The sequence below is a fragment of the Homo sapiens genome, chromosome 7 (assembly GCF_000001405.40).
Source record: "Homo sapiens chromosome 7, GRCh38.p14 Primary Assembly".
Classification (NCBI taxonomy): Eukaryota; Metazoa; Chordata; class Mammalia; order Primates; family Hominidae; genus Homo; species Homo sapiens.
The window spans coordinates 105,836,067-105,856,542 of NC_000007.14; the positions used below are offsets into that span (position 1 = coordinate 105,836,067).

The 20,476-nt window shown below is 44.4% G+C and overlaps 1 protein-coding gene across 3 annotated transcripts in view, besides 3 other annotated features; it reads right to left on the reverse strand.

Annotated features, from left to right (window-relative positions):
• Positions 1–20,476, reverse strand: part of ATXN7L1 (ataxin 7 like 1) — a 271,828-nt gene that overhangs the window by 231,295 nt on the left and 20,057 nt on the right. The window lies entirely within an intron of this gene.
• Positions 1,274–2,131: an enhancer, noted in NCBI's record as "OCT4-NANOG-H3K27ac-H3K4me1 hESC enhancer chr7:105477786-105478643 (GRCh37/hg19 assembly coordinates)". NCBI's record gives its function as "activates a minimal SCP1, AML or CMV promoter by ChIP-STARR-seq in naive H9 embryonic stem cells {active_cell/tissue: H9 hESC(naive)}" and the evidence as "EXISTENCE:reporter gene assay evidence [ECO:0000049][PMID:30033119]".
• Positions 2,132–2,988: an enhancer, noted in NCBI's record as "OCT4-NANOG-H3K27ac-H3K4me1 hESC enhancer chr7:105478644-105479500 (GRCh37/hg19 assembly coordinates)". NCBI's record gives its function as "activates a minimal SCP1, AML or CMV promoter by ChIP-STARR-seq in naive H9 embryonic stem cells {active_cell/tissue: H9 hESC(naive)}" and the evidence as "EXISTENCE:reporter gene assay evidence [ECO:0000049][PMID:30033119]".
• Positions 17,833–18,582: an enhancer, noted in NCBI's record as "H3K27ac-H3K4me1 hESC enhancer chr7:105494345-105495094 (GRCh37/hg19 assembly coordinates)". NCBI's record gives its function as "activates a minimal SCP1, AML or CMV promoter by ChIP-STARR-seq in naive H9 embryonic stem cells {active_cell/tissue: H9 hESC(naive)}" and the evidence as "EXISTENCE:reporter gene assay evidence [ECO:0000049][PMID:30033119]".

A 20,476-nucleotide genomic window follows, 5' to 3' on the forward strand; every position in this document is an offset into this window, starting at 1 on the left:
CGCTGCATCCCCAGAGTAAATTAAAAGTAGAACGGTGACAGCCAAGAGAGGCAGTGCCCCAAACCAGGAGGGCTGGGGGAGAAGGGGCATGGGATGGCACTGGGCTATGGGGGACCAGAGATGAAACCCACAGGAACCCCAAACTCTTGCAGTGAAGGGAATATGCCTACTGCACAGAACATGGAGGTTTCTATCATGTTCAAGAGAAAATATTTAGCCGAAAGTACTCTTATACCTGGACCCTTGAGAATTTAAGCCTCTGAATCACACAAGAGCTTCAGGGTCACCCAAACAACCAAAATGACCCAAAGATCAGAAAAACAACCGAACAAATGAGACGAATGTGTTAAAAAGCCCAGGAGAGAGTGATTAGGGAGAAAATGGGATGCCAGCATTTAAATGGTAGGGCAACAAACTCCCAGCTGAGGGTGATGTTTCCAGAGAAGCGGGGAAGGAAAAGTAAATTATCAGGGACAGATGGCAAACAATATCAGGTGGCATAAGCATCCCCAGAAGAAAGTGTTAGAACTGGGAGACATCAGGGCAGGTGGTTCCCTCCACACATCTGCCTACTCCATAGCACCTGGCCCTGAACAGAGTCTCAAAGGACATCTCAGGATTTGAAATCATCTTGAAAGCAGTCTGTTAGGCTGTTCTTGCACTGCTATAAAGAAATACCCGAGGCTGGGTAATTTATAAGAAAATAGGTTTAGGCTGGGTGTGGTGGTTCACGCTTGTAATCCCAGCACTTTTGGGAGGCTGAGACAGATCACCTGAGGTCAGGAGTTTGAGACCAGCCTGGCCAAAATGGCAAAACCCCATCTCTACTAAAAATACAAAAATTAGCCGGGTGTGGTGGTGTGTGCCTGTAATCCCAGCTACTCGGGAGGCTGAGGCAGGAGAATCGCTTGAACCCAGGAGGTGGAGGCATGGTACTGACATTGCTCGGCTTCTGGGGAGGCCTCAGGGAGCTTTTACTCATGGTGGAAGACGAAGCGCGAGAGAGTGAGTGGGTGGGGGGAGGTGCCACACACTTTTCAAAGATCAGATCTTGTGTGAACTCAGAGCGTGAGTTCACTTATCACCAAAGGGATGGCTCAAGCCATTCATGAGGGGTCCACCCCCATGACACAAATACCTCCCACCAGGCCCCACCTCCAACACTGAGGATTACCTTTTAACATGAGATCTGGGTGGGGACAAATATCCAAACTATATCATAGTCATCCACTGGCCTTCTGATTCCTTCCTACTTCTTTGAATCTACAATGCCCTAAGATGCACCATTATTTTATCTACTAGTAAGAAACAAGAAACCAAACTACCCAATGATAACACAACATGAAATTTAAGATGGATCCCTGCTTTGGAGAAGTTAAAATGTGAAAAAAAAAAAAAAGTGGGCATCTTAGAATCAGTGAAATATGAAGGGTTGGAAGGATATACTACTATCTGGCTGTTTTCAGAAGGGGTGCATGGGACCATGACACTGCCTCCCATCCACAGCACCAGTGAAAGGGTGCCAGTGAAAAGATTCACTTGGCATAGATGTATCATCCCCAGAATCCACATATGATGGGGGAAGGAAGAGCTGAGAAGGAGGTGAACGCATGAACAGGGAGCAGCAAAAGACAGCAGGGACGGAAGGACTCCCTGGGGATCTGCTTTACTGTCTCTGTGGAGGGTGGACTCAGCCATGGAACACGTCCCTGGCCACCCTTCTCCACTCACATGGCGAGCCCGATGCCAACAGCGGAGGCCTCCGTGAGACAAGTGGCACTCTGGACCTCTGGGGACGTTTGCCAAATGCCTGCCTCCCTCGTGAATGAACACTACACATGTGCGCTCGCTCTCGATGGCGCAGGTCCTAAAAGCAGGAGTCGGGCTGCACAGGAAATGTTTTGCAAAGAATGAACCAAGTCTTCTCCCTCGGAAAATAGCTTCCCTCCAGCCTCCTTCAAGGGAGTTGGAAAGGAATGCTTCCCATTTGCAAATCAATAACTTACATTGGCTGTGTAGACAATAAAGCGCAATATGTGATCCTAGAGACCCATAATGGCTCAGTGTTCTAACATAATCCTGCCCTCCAAGAAGCAGACAAGAAAACGACACAGGCCTCCCAGCTGTGTCTGCCCAGTGCCACACCAAAGGCTGGTGGTCTGCCTGTCGTTCTTTCTTTTTTTGGTGGAAAATCAGAAGGCTTCGGCTGAGCATGCTGCCAGGAGCCGAAGACACTCGACATTTTACCATTTCCTACTTTTCACAGCTATTTGCATAAGCGTTGTTAGGAAAATACCTATACCAGGAGGGAGATGGTTTAATGGAAAAAGCATTTCAATCATTCACTTTCAGCCAGAATTTCACACACTCGGAGGCACTTGACATTATCCTTGGAAACCAGGAGAGAAACAGCTGCTGCATAGGCCACACCCCTAGGGATTTCAGCCTTTTGATATAAGAGGAGTGGCCTGTGCAGAAATCGGTTAGATTCTGTGAAATTCCAGCCAGGAGCAGGGGCTGAGAGACTGGGTAATAAACTGATCTCTGTCCCACCTGGATCAGCCCAGTATCCAACCCACAGGGACAATAAAAAAAGGCCTGTGGCTGGCAAACATCATCTTCCCTGATTGTTCCACTCCTTTCTAATTACTCTGCGCGTCTGGCACCCAAACAAGGGCCCAGAGCAACGTGGAAATGACCCGAACTCCTGGATCACCGGGCACCCTGCCAGCCAGGTCTCTAGGAGTCTAGGAATGTTCCATTATCAATCCACTTGCCTCATCTGAAGAGTTGGCTGGAGCACACCTCTACTTCCTTTTCACTCACGAGAAAGACTCTAGGAACCTCAGTCACTCCCAACAGAAAAGCAAAGGAATCCATTCCTTCACGAAGCATCATCTCTGCTTAAACCAGGCATTCCTCAGGTTAGGCAGAAATCTCTGAAGAACTCGGGACTGCCCACTCAACTTTAGGAAAGCCAGCCCCTGCGGGAAGCCACCCATGCAAGGCAACCAATCAAACTAGCCAGCAGCATCTGACACATTCAGCTGTGGGTGTTCTAGATACAAATACAGAGGTTTTTCCTTTTACAAAGGCCAAATAGCATGCTGTTATGGGCAATGGCTCAGCTGAGAGACGTTTTTAGGAAGCTGTTGCTGCTGCATGAAAAAAAAAAAAGCTTGTGGATTTTGTGCACTTAAAATGAAAATCAAAACTTGAACATGGAAGATGGTTGCCTGATGGTTTGGCATCTCACCCTGGCCTAAACACTCCAAATCCAACCCTGGGCTTTCCATGTCTCAGCCCGATGCACTCTTTACTGCCTTCACTCCCAGTTTGCTGGGCACATGGGTGTAAATGCTGGCAGCTTCCCCGTTTGGACTGGGTTCAAGATGGTACCTGATTAGCACATATGAGCCTGTTTGGCCATTCAGCCTACACTGAATGGTCCATCTGGGGTGTCTGAATGGCAGCTGTTACAGTTAGAGCACAAGGTGAGATGAGATGAGTCTTCTCCCTTTTCTCCCTGCATCTCTGCTCATGATACCCAGAGGAGAGGAAGAACTTAAACACCCCACAAGGGATGACAGCCTTAGGTCCAGCCTCATATGCAGGGCAGAGAGGACTGATGAGTATCTACTTTGTTGCACTCAGAGAGCCCATGAACACCCATGGGAAAATACACCTACTGAGCACCTACTATGTGCCAGGCATGGGAAAGAGGAATATAAATGAGACATACGGTCTGTGTTAAAGGCACCCAGAGTCCACCAGAAAGGAGGACAGGTGAAATAAGAAATAATACAATATTATTATATGCTGTAACAGAAACACCTGAAATGTGCTATGTAAACAGATGAGGACTTGGCTAATTCTGCATGGGTCTGAGGTTTAGGGTGGTGTCAGGGAAACCTCATTTGAACTGGGCCTTCATGGATGAGTAGGAAGTTGCCAGGTGGACCAAGGCAGCAGTCAGGATCAGAGGAGTCAGAGGAGAGGGTGAGTGGTCTGTGGAGAGCACAGGGACTCTGCCGGCAGGCAGTGGCTGGGCCTGGGAGGGCCCACAAGGGCCACAGTGAGGGGCTGTATGCCAACTTCACCCAGCAGACCCCAGGGAGCCACTGGCATGAGTGTAGGAGCAGAGTGACAATCCGATCTGAGTTCTGGAAAAGTCATGCTGGAGACAGTAAAGCTGGATTGGAGAGTCACTAACCAGGCACTAACCAGGAGAAAGCCCAGTCAAGAGGTTACTATGAAGGTCCTAGAGAACGGGGGCTTGGATAGCCTGCTGCTGTGGCGAAGAGGAGGGGCCAGAGCAGAAGTGCTTCAGGGTGGAGTCCACAGGGCTGCAGGTAGCAGGAAATGATGCCTGCCTGGGGCCAAAAAGCCTGGCGCCTTGAATGTGTCTGAGTCCAGGCTGCCAACACACCAGCTCTTCTGCCACATTTTCTGAACCTTCCTGATTCTCAGATTCACCAGTGCCAGAATCTGAGCAACACCCCGGCTCCCAGCTCTGTTGTATCTTCTCCAGATCACACATACTGCCCCCCAGAGCTTACAACCCAGCTGTCAAATGCTGGGCCAGAGAGCCTCCCTGTCCAACCCCTGCATCTCCAACGGCTCCAGGGCCAGAAGCCCCAAGAAAGAAATGGGGTATACTTCCCACTTGATTCTGTCTACAGACCGCCTTCTAAATACAAAAAAGAAGTAACTTACCGGCGGTGAGCACACTCTTCCAGGTTTACCTGCCCCAGCTGGTGTCAGGAATTCCAGTATTCATCTGGTTTACCTTTGCCCCCAAGTTCTGGCCCCATGGAGTGATGGCAATCTCAGGGTCCTCTCAGAACCCTTATAGGGACATTTTCCTGTGTCCAGAGAAATCTGGACATAAGACAATCCTAATGTCCTTGGTGAACTCCAGGAGGAATGCATTTTGGGTAAGGCCAGGACAGATCACTTGGGCAGATGAGCTCCAGGTGTTTTTTCTATAAATCTCATTGCTAATATCTGAGACAGGAGCAACACTGAGCTTTGTGCGTGCTGCACAGTGTTTTTGTTTATAAGACAGTTTCCCGGTGTCTAATGGCATTGGATCCCACAACACCATGGGAGGTCGGGGGGTCAGGCACTCCTAGAAGGCCACATGGAGCAGAGCATGAGACCGCAGGTTCTGCAGTTGAAATGCCTGTCCTGGAGCACTGCTCAGCCTCTCACTGGCTGCCTCACCTTGGACAAGTACTCTGTTTCCTTGTGCCTCATTTTCTCCAGCTGAAAAGTGGAACTAATACAGCAGTCCTTGCTTATCCACGGTTTCACTTTCCAGTTTTAGTTACATGCAGCCAATCATGGTCCAAAAATATTAAGTGGAAAATCCCAGAAGTAAACAATTCATAGGTTTTAAATTGTGCACTGTTAAGAGCAGCTTGATGAAATCTCATGCTGTCCACTCCATCCCACCTGGGATATGAATCATCCCTTTGCCCAGCAGATCCATATTGTCTATTCCACCTGCCTATCAGTCACTTAGTAGCGTCTCAGTCATCTGATGGAAGGCTGTGGCATCTCGGTGCTTGCATTCAAGTAATCCTTACTTTCCTGAACAATGGCCCCAAAGCGCAAGAATAGTGATGCTGGCATATTGTTATAATTGTTCCATTTTGTTACTAGTTATTATTGTTAATCTCTTACTGTGCCTCATTTAAAAATTAAACTATCACAGTATGTACGTATGCATAGGCAAAAATGGTAGACACAGGGTTTAGTACTATCTGTGGATTCAGACATCCACTGGGGGTCTTGGAACTGTATCCCTTGTAGATAAGGGGGACTACTGGACTAATGCCTAGCACATAGTGGGTACTTTATAAGCATTCTTAGAGAAAGATCTGCAATTTAGAATGACTTAAACAGGGTGCTCCAGGCTGAGGAACTTGCCTGAAGTTGCCCGGCTGGAATGTGAGATGGGGAACTAGAATTCTTTGGCTCCCAGACCGTACTCTTCATGCCACGTCAAGCCACTCTGGGAAGCACCTATTCTCTGGCCAGTCCCTCTTCCTGCCTGGGAAAGGGCCTTTACATGGCAAACAATGTATATTGTCATCTTACAGCAATAACCATTAAAGTAGAAGGGTTTTTTTTTTTTGAAAATTTTTATTGAGGTAAAATTCATATAACACAAAATTAATTATTTTAAACATTGCAAAGTGTACAATTCAATGTGTAATCCTCAATGGTGTGTAGCTACTACCACTATCTAATATGAGAATATTTTTACCACCCCAAAGAGAAACCCCGTACTTCCCAATTCCCCTTTTTGCTCAGCCTCTGGCAACCACTAATCTATTTCCTCTCTACGGATTGCCCTATTCTGAATGTTTCATATGCATGGAATCATCCAATATATGGTCCTTTGCTTCTTTCTTTCACTTAACATAATGTTTTCAAGGTTCATCCATGTTATAGCAGGTATTGATATTTCACGCCTTTTTTTGGCTGAATAATTCTCATTGTAGGATATACTACATTCTATTTATCCATTTATCATTTGATGCACATTTGGGTATTTCTACCTTTGGGCTATTGTGAATAGTGCTGCTCTGAATACTGGTGTACAAGTTTTTGTGTGACCTTAGGTATATAACTAGAAGTGGAATTGCTGGATCATACCATAACTGTATGCCTAACCTTTTGAGGAACTGCCGAACTGCTTTCCACAGTGGCTGTGCCATTTTACATTCCCAACAGCAATGTGTAAGGGTTTCAATTTCTCCACAATCCTCGCCAACACTTGTAATTTTCCTTTCTATTTTAAAATATATATAGTATTATAGCCATCCTACTGGATGGAGAGTGGTGTCTCTTGGGGTTTTGATTTGCATTTCCCTAATGACTAATGATGTTGAGCATCTTTTCATGTACAGTACATCTTTAGGTTCTTGATATTATGGAAGTTGAAATAAAAGATACGAAATCTTCAGCTTTTTTTCTTAAAATGAAGGCGTGAGCTTGGTGCAGGCAGAGCAAGCTGATCCACCTAGAGACTGCAGCAGGGAAACCGAATACCCAACAGACAGGGTCCTTTGGTCATTTCCTATGTTCAGCAAGCAAATGGTGGCCCCAAGGTTAGGGTGGGATTTGGGAAGGCTGCACCAGCTCACAAAAGCTTCCACATCTAGCTGGGGCCCACCCTGGTTCTGTTTCTCTGGTTATTAGGTCCTATCTGTCTTTAGAATGGCAGTCCAACTTTGTCCACAGGCTTGAAGGTGGGATTAGCAAGATGGTCTGAGATGCTCAGCTTGCAGACCAATTGCGGGCCTCAGAAAAGCCGGGGCATTAAGGATAAATGCCACATGACAGATCCATCTAGGAAGCTAAGTGAGCGGATGGCCCCAAATGCCAGCCAATGGCAGGTCTGGGCACTCACAGAAGCAAAACCCTCCTGTGGTACAGGGGCAGCAAAGTGGCTGAAGGCTGACTGATGTGTGAGCCCTGTGAGCCTTTGACTCACTCTGCCAAGGGCAGAGGCAGAGTACAGCTAGGCAAGCACCTTTTGGAAAACGGGCCACTGGCCACCACTGTGAGGGGTGGTTACCCTAGGCATGGGTGTTCCAGGACCCAGGTTCCCTCTTCTTTTCAATGCTGCCTTCTGGCCATTTCATTTCTCAGGGCCTTCTCAAGAGACAGGAGATAAGAAAACACCATTGCATGTTTCCACAATTCTTGTAGAAAGCTATGGCCCAGGGATGGCTGGAGCCAATGGATTCCTGCTCCATTACTGTGTAAAAAGCTACCCCAAAACTCTGGTTTAAAACCACAATTTGTTATTATCTCTCACAGTTCAATGGATTGACTAAACTCAACTGGGCAGTTTTCCCTTACAATCAGATGTCAACTGAAGCTACAGCAGTATCTGTAGATCTACTGAGCTGGATGTCCAAGATGGCCCATTCACATGGCTGGCATCTGATGCTTGGTGTCAGCGAGGGATGTTGACTGGAGGGCCTCCACCCCAAATGGCCTGCACTTCTTATAGCTTGGTAGCTGGATCCAAGAAGGTGCATCCTGACAGTGAGTTTTCAAAGAAACTCAGGCAGAAGTTGCAAGACCCTTGTGACCCAGGCTCTGTGTCACTTCTGCCATATTCTATTGGTCAAGACTGAGTCACAAGGAACACTCTCCAACTCTTTGAGGCTAGTATCACCTTACCAGACAAAGACATCATAAGAAAACTAAATCCCTTCTGAACATAGACATAAAAATCTCCAACAAGATACTAGCAAACCAAATTCAGCAATATATAAAAAGGATTATGTACCATGAACAAGTGGAATTTATCCCAGCAATGCAAGAGTGGTTCAACATATGAAAATCAATCCATGTAATATACCATATTAACATAATAAAGGGCAAAACTACACTATCATCTCAACGGACACAGAAAATGCATTTGACAAATCCAATCCCCTTCTTAATAAAAACACTCAACCAACAAGAATGGAAGGAAACTTTTTCAACTTGATAAAGTGTATTTATGAAAAGCCCACAGTTAATATCATACTTAATAGTAAGAGATTTAATGCTTTCTCCCCAAGATCAGGAATAAGACAAGAATGTCCACTCTCACCATCAGTACTCAATATTATACTGAATATTCTAGCCAGAGCAATTAGGCAAGAAAAATAAATAAAATGCATTCAGATTGGAAAGGAAAAGGTAAAACCATCTCTATTTGCAGATGACATGACCTTATATACAGAAAGCCCTAAGGAATAAATACACACAAAGAAAACTATGAGAGTTAACAAACAAGTTTAACACGGTTGCGGAATAAAAGAACATACATAAGAATCAGTTGTGGGCTGGGCAAGGTGACTTATGCCTTTAATCCCAGCACTTTGGGAGGCTGAGGTGGGAGGATCACCTGAGGTCAGAAGTTTGAGACCAGCCTGGCCAACATGGTGAAACCCTGTCTCTACCAAAAATACAAAAATTAGCCGGGCATCGTGGCGGGTGCCTGTAATCCCAGCTACTCAGGAGGCTGAGGCAGGAGGATTGCTTGAACCTGGGAGGCGGAGGTTGCAGTGAGCCAAGATTGCACCAGTGCATTCCAGCCTGTGTGACAGAGCAAAACTCTGTCTCAAAAAAAAAAAAAAAAAAAAAAAAAAAATCAGTTCAGTTGTATTTCTACACACTAGCAATGGACAATCAGTAAAATTAGGAAGACAATTTCATTTACAATAATATCAAAAATAAAATACTTACCAATAAGTTTAGCCAAAGAGATGTAAGACTTGTACATGGAAACTATAAATACAGTTGACAGAAATTAAGATCTAAGTAAATACAAAGCCTTCCCATGTTCATGCGTTGGAAGACCTAATGTTGCTAAGATGGTTTGCATTCTCTAAACTGATCTACAGATTCAACGTAATCTTTGTAAGTACCCAGTCTTTTTTTTTTTTTTTTGAAGAAATTGACAAAGTAATCCTAAAATTCATATGGAAATTCAAGAAGTTCCTATTGTTTAAAGCCAAAACAATTTTGAAAAAGAACAAAGTTGGAAGACTCATACTTTCCAGTTTCAAAACTTTCTATGAAGCCACAGTATCCAAGATAGTGTGTTACTGGCATTAGGATATATAGATCAATGGAACAGAACTGAGAGTCTAGAAATAAACTCATATTTATGGTCAACTGATCTTCATCAAGAGTTCCAAGACAATTCAATGGAACAAAGAATAGTCTCTTTCAAAAAATGATGCTGAGACAACTGGATAGCCACATGAAAAAGAATTTTGGCCCCTACTTCACACCATGTACAAAAACATACCTCGAAAGACACCATAGATCTAATGTAGGAGCTAAAACTACAAAACTCCTAGAAGAAAACATAGGAGCAAATCTTGTGACCTGAAATTAGACAATGGTTTCTTAGATATAACACCAAAAGTGTAAGCAATAAAAGAAATATTTGATAAACAGGACATCATCAAAATTAAAAGCTTTTGTGCTTCAAAGGACATCATCAAGAAAGCAAAAAAGACAACCCACAGAAGGGAAAAATATTTGCAAATTATATCTGATAAGAAATATATAATTTCTTATACATATCCAGAATAAATAAAGAATTCTTAAAACTTAAAGAGAAATAATCTAATAGCTATTAGGGATGCTAAGGTGGGAGGATCGCTTGAGCCTAGGAGATTGAAGCCACCGTCGGCAACACAGCGAGACCCTGTCTCTAAAAGAAATAAAATTTGTAAAAATGGCCAATAGGTGCCATCAAGCACATTAAAAGATGGTCAACATCATGTAGTCATCAGGAAAATGCAAATCAAAACCACAATGAAATACCACTTAAAACCCACTAAGATGGCCATGATAAAAAAGACTGATAATAACAAATGTTGGTAAGGATATAGAGAAATTAGAACCCTCATACATTGTTGGTGGGAATTTAAAATGGTGCGGCTGCTTTAGAAAACAGTTTCACAGTTCTTCAAAAAATTAAGCATGGAGTTACCATATGATTCAGCAATTTCACTCCTAGGTATATACCCAAGAGAAAACATATGTCCACAAAAACTTATACACATGCTCACAGCAGCACAATTCAAAATAGCCAGAAGGTAAAAATAATCCAAATGTCCATCAACTGGTAAATGAATAGACAGAATGTAGCATATCCTACAGTGGAATACTGTTCAGCTACAAAAAGGAATGAGGTATTGATACCTGCTACCACATGAATGAACCCTGAAACATTATGCTAAGTGAAAGAAGCCACACATAAAAGGCCACATATTATATAATTCCATTTATACGAAATGTTCAGAACTGGGCAATCCATAGAGACAGAAAGTTGATTCGTAGTTGCCAGGGACTGAGGGGAGGAGGGAATGGTCAGCAACTGCTAATGGGTACAAGGTTTCTTTCGGGACTAACAGATATGTTCTGGAATGAGATAGTGGTGTTGGTTGTACCACTTGTGAATATATTAATACCAAAAACAACTTTAAAGGAGTGAATTTTGTGGCATATGAATTATATCTTAATGGCAATTATTAAAACACATACATAAAGTGTGTCACAGGGTGAGCCAAGCGTCACAGAGAAGAGACTACATGGGAGGCGTGTTCCCTGAAAAGGCACCTCTGAAGACCAGTTACCATGTGCACTCCAACTCACTTCTTGGCTTGATGGGTGAGAACATTGGGAGTTGGCCACTAGATTAAGGACTGGATGGATCTAGTTTTAACTTTTGATCCTGAAATTTGAGAGAGAAATCATATCCTGGTATCTTTTGGGCTTCTTTATCAGTAGCAAAACAGTCAGACAGGACCTCTAGCAACAAGGAGAAAGCATGCAGGCTGGAAGCCTAGAGAACAGGTCCAGCTGAGAAATAATGTACAGCAGCAAGGGCAGGTAAAATCAGGGCAGGGTTGACTCTTCTAGAGCCAACCAACAGGTCCAGATGTGGATGGTGCTAAGGAAGACCTAAACTGTAAAACTATTGTTTACCCCAAGAACAAGAGCTCAGGACAGTAGAAAGTACATGGGTGGTAGAGATGAACAGATCCAGGTTCAAATCCTGGCTCTGCCACTTATTAGCTGTGTGATCTTAAAAGAGCTTCTTAATTTTTCTCTGCCCCAGTTTACTCGGCTCTTTGCAGGGTGATAAGACTGAAAGGCTAATATATATGAAAAGTGCCTGGCATATAATAGTTGTTCAGTAAATGGTAGTTTTTATTATTAGTACTGTCTTGTCAGCATAACTATTCATACGAAATGGCCCCTGCCAGCATTCAGTAACACCTGCCATGTGGTTTGAGAATTATCTGGAAATTTCTATTTTCCTAGCTACTTTGGTCCTATAGGCAAGATTGGATAGAAAATGTTTGAGCATTAAGATTTCCTAAAACTCATGTGATCCAAATATGACAGACATGGGTAAGTTAGCCTTAATCTATAGAGGGCTCTTAGAAAACAATGGGAAAAAAGATTAATAGGCCAATGGAAAATTAAGCAAAAACCATGAAAAAGCAACTCATATAAGAACATACACAAAGCTAACGAAATGTTCAACCTTATTAGTAATCATAAGAATGAAAACTAAAATAAGATAACATTTGAACTTATTAAATCATCAAATATCTGACAATCTTTGGTGAGATATTGGCCAGAGTTGGGAAAACAGCCACTCTCATACACTCCTGATGGGAGTATTAATTGGAACAATATTTCTAGAGGGCAATTTAGCAATGAGTATCAAAAGCCTCAAAAACAGCACACTCTTAGACTCAGCATTCCACTTCTAAGAATTTATGCTTTAGAAATAATCATGAATGTGTGCAAAAATTTAGCTACAAGGATATTCATTTGATTGCAATATTATTTTTAATAATGAGAACCTGAAAACAACCAATATATCCAATGACAGGGAATTAGTTAAATAAATTATGAAATACATTTACAATGGAATACTTAATAACTAGGAAAGGTACTCACCATAATCAACATAATACAAAATTATCCCATTTTTGTAAGTTACAGGAAACAAACAAAAGGTCAGCACTGGTTAATTCCAGATGACAGGGGTATAGGCTAGCTTTTTTCTTCTTTTGTTGATGTGCATCTTCTACAGTGATCACATATCACTTTTGCATGAAGAAAAAGCATCATTAAATAAATCTACTCATGGAGGTCCAGGCCCTCCATGATTGCAGCTCCGTGCACCCAGCCTAGAGCATGCTGCTCCTCGGCCCAGTGACTATTCTTCTAGCCTCCAGTTCCCTCAGCCTGCCAGCCCAGAGTGTGTTCTCAGGGCTGGGTCACTGCTTTCTGCTCCTCTCTGGGCCCTCTCCCTGCACTGCATGGCTCTAGACTCAGGTCTGCCACTAGCTATCACCCCAGTGGATCACTTGGTCTCCTCACCTCCATTCCTCCACCTGCAAGTCCCATGACCTAAGGCTTATCCTCCACTCCTAACCCCACGACACAGCAGTCTGAAAATAAAACTGCTCCACTGAATTTGACCATTATTGCACCATTATCACCACCCTATTATTAGTCCATCAGAGGGGACAGGCCATCACCACTGGCCTGAGAGGAGATGGACAATCTCAACAGGGCTTGGAGGTGTGATTTCACTTCCCTGCCAAGGAGGTGGCAGAAGGCTGGTCACCACACCAGGGCGTCACTCCTTGACAACACCACAACTGCCCAGAGTCCGTCCCTACGTAGTGATATGCAGGTGGGGAGGGCTCTGGCAAGAAGTTAGTGTAACCAGATCCCTTCTGACAGACCTGAGATGCGCAGGAATTCTTAAGGGCAAGAGGGTCAAGCCTGGTTTTCTCCCTGAATCTCCACCCAAACACCAAAACACCAGGGCTGGGCCCCCGCTAGAAGATGTGCTGCTCATGGGTCATGCAGGCTGTACTGAAAGACAACAAGTCACAGGAAGCTGCCTCTCTTACAGGGTGGTGCCGTCCTGTGGTTTCCCACCCTCTTGGAGGTGTAGCCATTGTTTGCTTGGTTTCATGACACCTCTTCTCCTCCTGAAAGTGCTGTATGTTGATTTTCCTTCTAAGTGAAGTGAACACAAATGATTCACCAGGGGCCCTGAGGTCACTGGGGCTCCCTGAGGATGTTCAGGCCCCTGAATGACAATGGGTGCTCTGAAGTCTGGGCCACTTCCTTCCCTCCTGCTTCCCATCTGAACTTAGAGGCAGATTAAGCCCCAGCTGCTCTCAGCTCTTTAAACAGAGTTGCCCTGATGGGCTGGCAAGTTCACACATACCTGCACCTTCTGAGGCTACCACAAGAGCTTTCTGTGACTCTTCAAATTTCATGCTTTATCTTAAAAATTAATGCAAATTTTCCTTGATACTCTATTTTTGCCCTACTGTATTTTATTAATTCTAAGCTGCACTCACCCCCACTTCCATTGTAACATCTTTAAAATCAGGATGTCTTAGAATCCACAGTGGCTGTAGTTTAATTGGCAGTGCTTTTTCTCAGTGTTACATAAAATAACAATGTATTTTCTGATAAATGGCATCTTAGAGTTGATGAAATATAATGATAAAAAAATACTTTCCTGTAGAATTAGAGTTGAACTGACATTCTGAAAGATGTGCCACCACGTTTGCACACTCCTGGCTCCCTGCCTAGGGCCCTGGTTTAAGGACCATTTCCAGATGTCATTTCCTCATGCCTGTCATGCCCCATGGCATCGGGAATACAGCCTTCACCAGCACACTGTTCCCACAGGAGAGGACCATGAGGAAGCTCATCCTGAAGGACACCCCCTAGTCCTCTGTTCCAGGGGCTACTCAATGGCAACCAAAGGAAATGTTCACTGCGCATTTCCCATGGGCCATGCATTGAGCTAAATGCTGTGTGTTCACTTCCTTCAACTTTGCCAACAACCCTATGAGCTACCTGTGATATCCCATTAAGCAGATGGGAAAAATAAGGCTGTGAGAGGTTATAGGACTTTCCTCTGTGCTGAACCCAGATCTCTCTGACTTAAGAGGCCTAGCACTGATCCCTGTGCCTCCTGAAGAACGAGCACAGAGCGAGCATGGGCTTCTGCTGCAAGACACTGTGGTGTCTCCTTCTGCACAGAAGGGGTACCCATGCTCCATATGGCCTGCCTGTTTGGAAAGTGATCCTCACTTGCCTGCAAGAGAGTCCCTCTCAGGAGCTCCCGGTTTCCCATCTCCCCAGACTCTGCAAATGCCCTCAGTGGGGGCCCTGGTGTGTAGGCTGAGCTGGAGGACAAGATACAGACAGATCTCAGAGATAATGAAAGTCAATATCAAAAGGGGCAGAAAGCCATCTCTGCCCCCAGGATATGTCACTTCAGTTCTTATTCCTTCCTGCTGCCCCGCTTCCTTATAACTTACCTCTTCACCTAGACACTTCCAAACTCAACTTCCCACAACACCTCCCTCCCCTTGCTCTCAAATTCTGGCTCGTTTTTTATGTGTATCCCACAATGATTTACAACCCTGAAACTAACCCAGGGAAACCACTGGATTTCTCAGACCTGCCCTCTCCTCCAGGCAATAATACCAGCTACCATTTTTCTGACCATCTATAGGATGGCAGCTGGTGACTTATCCCTAATCTTCCTAGGTCTGGTCCTGTTGTCCAAATGAGCAAGCAGAGGAACAGAGAGGCAAGGTAGCTAGCCTAAAGTCACACAGCAAGCAAGCAGCAGGGCCAAGAAGTTAGCTAAGGTCTGACTGCAAAGCTACGCCTTTCCCCCTGCACCATCGAGTTCCTCGACGATCAACTATACGCAGAGATGGGACTGAAAGGTGGCTTCTCCAGCTAGCATACATATTACCAGTCTTTCTCTGTATCTCTGTCAGTCTATCTCCCAGTAAAAATCCAAACACCAATCATGTCAATAGGGCTAGATTTGCAAGTGGCTGTCCCCAGCCCTTTACCCCAAACAGGGAGGACTCTTCCTCAGGAGATTTGCATGTATCACAAACCCTAACACCAAAATGCAACTTTTAAAGCAGCAAGCTTATTCCTCACGTGTTTCCATCCCCCTCCCATGTGGCTCACCCCCTTGTTATTTCTGGGCACAGGTGTGTCTCCCCCACAAGCTGTAAATTTCTTTAAACATTTTGTTGTTGTTGTTGTTGTTGAAAGGGCGAAGAAGTCCACAGGAAAGGAAAAGGAAAAACCACAGAACCATCCCCAGGAGAAATGTGCACACACAAAACACGCCCTCACACCTCTGCAATTCTTCATGCAACAGGAGAGCTTCACAGGGCACAAGTGAAGAATCACGATTCTGTTTCCCTCTTGCACCCTCTATTCTGTGTCTGTACACAGTAAGTGCTGAATAATTTTATGAAGGATCAATGCCACTACTTCTCTCTCCTCCTCCTTCCACCACCATCTTTGGTCAGAAAGAATGTAGCTGTTTACTTTATCACACTTTCTATGAGGCGCTTCCCTGGCTCTCAGATTTCTAAGTTCTCTGTACCATCCTCCCTCTGTGAAGTTCCATCACCTTCCTGTTCTATGTCGTCCATACCCTGTTCCCAGAGGCTTGCCCCTGCCTCTCTCTAGTCCCCCATGAATTTTGCCAGTTCTTTATTGACAGGCAGCCCTATACTACTGGCAGGGACCTTACAGTCCTCCCCTCATCTCACAGATGGAGATCACCAGGACTTGCTCTGTAATTGCACAAGGTTGCCCTGTTTTCTGACAGAGGGAGACCCAATCCCAGGAATCTTGACCCAGTTAGTTCAGCCTTCCTAACCCTCCCTATACAACCTCTGCCCAGCAATCTGCTGCCTCCTCCCTGGAAAGCAAAAGCACTAGTGGCCTTGTGTGATCCTGGCCTCTCAGATTTTCAGCTCTGGCAGGACTCTTCCAGACCATGAAGCAAGGACCTTTGTGCAAGCTAGAAAAAGGCACCCTCTCTGGTCAGATGCAGCACAGGGGGCGCACAGTTTGGCAAGCAGAGTGCCAGCTTGATCTGACCCCTCGGCCAGCAATCCTGCACAGGGCCCTTCCGCACACACATTCCTGTCAGCTCTGATGGAGAGGTGCACCTCGGCTGGCTTATCTCGGAAGGACTGAAGCATCATCCCAGTCACATCAGTTCTCTCCAGGTCTCTGTTTGACCCGCTCACAGATAGAAACAGGTATACATTTGACCCACTCACAGATGGAAACAGGTATACCCGCATTCACAGCAGCATTATTCACAATGCCCAAATGATTGGATAAATAAAATGTCAAATATACATACGATGAGATATTATTTAACCTTTGAAAGGAAGGAAATTCTGGTACATGCTACAACATCGATTAACCTTGGAAACATTACGCTCAGTGAAAGAAACGAGTCGCAAAAGGACACACACTGCATGAATCCCCTTATATGAGGGGAATAGATGATTAGAATAGGTGACTTCATAGGAACAGAAAGTAGAATAGAGAACGTAGAACAGGTACCAAGGCTGAGGGGAGGCAGGAATGGGGAATTATTGTTTAATGGGTTTAGAGTTTCTGTTTGGGATGATAGAAAAGTTCTGGAAATGCATAGTGGCAATGGTTGCACAACACTGTGAATGTCCTTAGTAACGCTGAATTATACACTCTAAACTGGTTAAAGTATTAAAATTTTAAGTTACATATATTTTTAAAAGTTTAAAAATTAAATGTAGGCTACATGCAGTGACTCACGCCTGTAATCCCAGCACTCTGGGAGGCCGAGGCGTGTAGATCACCTGACTGAGGTCAGGAGCTTGAGACCAGCCTGGCCAACATGGTGAAACCCCATCTCTACTAAAAATACAACCATTAGGCTGGGCGTGGTGGCAGGTGCCTATAATCCCAGCTACTTCGGAGGCTGAGGCAGGAGAATCACTTGAACCCGGGAGGCGGAGGTTGCAGTGAGCAGAGATCGCACCATTACACTCCAGCCTGGGTGACAGAGCAAGACTCGGTCTCAAAAAACAAACAAACAAAAAACAACAAACAAACAAAAAAAACAAAAAAAGCCCCACAAAAATGAGCTGGGCGTGGTGGTGGGCGCCTGTAATCCCAGTTACTCGGGAGGCTGAGGCAGGAGAATTCCTTGAACCTGGGAGGCGGAGGTTGCAGCGAGCAGAGATTGCACCACTGCACTCCAGCCTGGGCAACAGAGCGAGACTCTGTCTCAAAAAACAAAACAAAACAAAACAAAACAAAAACAAATTAAATGTGCTCTATATTGTGGCTTTAACAAAAAGGGCGGGCGGTAGGGAACAACAGCACCTGGCTGTACCTCTCTCTGAAAAGATGAGGATTCATAATACTTCCCACAAGCGCTTGATGCACCAGGAGCAGCACCTCATTTCCCGGGGCCCGACACCTCCACAGGGGCCTAACATCTGTGGACACGCGGCGGTCTAAGCACCGACTGGCTGAAAGGTGCCACATCGATTTAAACATCCCCTTCATCCTGGCCGTTCCCTCCACCCCCAGAGCCCATCTCTGCAGGCAGGCAGTTTTCCCTATAAGGCCGCGGCAGCCAGGCCCATTCTTGGTAGGCGTAAACTGCCATCCTGCTATAAATCCTTTCCCACAAAGCACTGGAGACTGGTCCTCTCACTGTGCCAAGAAGTCTTTTTCTGACCATCTGTAATCCATTCAAAGGCAACCGGCAGGAAATGGCGGCAAGGAAAACCCCTGCAAAATGCAACTGGTGGGACCACCTCTCCTCCCGCTAGTGGCCAGAAACAGGAAGTGGGCCTTTCTTGGGACACACAACATCTGTGGGAGTTCTGGAGGCTGCTGAGCGTCTGTCAGGGGCTGAACGGCTCGAGACAGATGCTCACAAAATTTGGTAAGAAAAGCATGCTGTATTGGGTTTGAAAATTAGCTCTGAAAAAAAAAAAAAAAAAAGCATTTGAAAAACCAAAACAAACCCCAGACCCTTATAGAGGAAAAAAAAAAAAACACAAAACACAAAAACCCCATCATATGAAAACTAACCTCAAAATTGCTTTCTTCTGATTTCTATGGACAATTAGACCATAATTTCAAGCAGTTCAAATCCTTCTTAGTGAGGCTCCCCCTCCAATCTGGTATTGTCAGCTGCTGCTGCTTAATAGTGACAGCTTCATTTTTGGCACTAAAAGCTGAAGCCCTCAAAGCTTTGCAGTTGTAAGCTGGGGCCAGCTTGTAAAGGCTCACAAGAGCTGATTGTTAAATTCTCAGGAATGTGGTGAGCCAATTATTAAATTATTAAAAGTTATATGACATAAGCTTACAATTGAATATAAAACTCATCATTTCCAATTTATCTTGCTACATTTCACTTATTATCTATGCTTTGAGTATGGGTTGGGAACTTTCTCTTTTCTTCTTCTTCTTTTTTTTTTTTTTTGAGATGGAGTCTCACCCTGTCACCAGGCTGGAGTGCAGTGGTGTGATCTTGGCTCACTGCAACCTCCACCTCCCAGGTTCAGGTGATTCTCCTGCCTCAGCCTCCCAAGTAGCTGGAACTACAGGTGTGCGCCACCACGCCCAGCTAATTTTTGTATTTTTAGTACAGATGGGGTTTCACCCTGTTGGCCAGGATGGTCTTGATCTCTTGGCCTCGTGATCCGTCCGCCTCGGCCTCCCAAAGTGCTGGGATCACAGGCGTGAGCCACTGTGGGTAGTAAAAATTTTAGGCTTTGTCTCAACTACTCCATGCAGGCATTGTAGTGCAAAAGCTAGCACAGACAATACATTAAAAAATGAGTGTGGCTATGTTCCAATAAAACTTTATTAAAAACAGGCAGCCCATGGGCCACACGTTGCTTAATCCTGCTCTCAAAGTCATTTACCATCTAATGTATCTGTATGGAGGATATCCTACGTAACAGTGTGCTGATGCATATCTCTTCCCAACTCTGAGTTCTGTGATATCACATTGACAGCTTGAAATGCAGTGGTAGGAGAGTTTACACCATGGAAATCATCACATACTACAAATCAGGGCATGATTTATTATTTTTTTGATTATCAAAATTTAAGAAAGTGATGGAGAAAATTTTAATGATGTAAGTTAAATTAAAAGAATAGTCAACCCTCTGAATCTGTGAGTTCCACATCTGCAGTTTCAACTTAATTGCAGATCAAAAATATGTGGAAGAAAAAGAAAAGATGCCTGAGTCTATACTGAACATGTACAGACCTTTTCCTCTTGTCATTATCCCCTAAACAATTCAGAATGACAACTATTTACACAGCATTTACATTGTATTAGGTATTATAAGTAATCTAGAGATTATTTAAAGTCTATGAAAAAACTGTATAAGTTATATGTAAATACTACACCATTTCATATAAGGGATAAGAATCCAAGGATTTGGGGTCTCAGAACCAATCCTTCGATATCAAGGGACAGCTGTATATCATGTCTCTAGCTTTATTGTGAATACTACAAAACAATGAGGACATATTCTTTTAGTACTTGAAAACCATTATTCAGTTCAGCAAGAAAGTCACGTCACTAACAATCAAGTGAAGTTTTAACATTTATCTTTGTTCTTTCCCTTTCAACTTACTCACTGACTTAAATGAAAATATCAACCAATACTTATGTGGGGTTTACACCTGTTTGTCAATTTAAACCTTAGGAAGGTTGGGGATATAAGAATTTGGCAGAAGTCAACCAAAGCATTTGGTAAGAATCTATAGACTATATGAAATCTACAAAAAAGAATTTAGGCTGGGCATAGTGGCTCAGGCCTGTAATCCCAGCACTTTGGGAGGCTGAGGCGGGTCGATCACCTGAGGTCAGGAGTTCAAGACCAGCCTGGCCAACATGGTGAAACCCTGTTTCTATTAAAAATACAAAAATTAGCGGGGCATGGTGGCAGGAGCCTGTAATTCCAGATACTCGGGAGGCTGAGGCAGGAGAATCGCTGGAACTTGGGAGGTGGAGACTGCAGTGAGCCGAGATAGT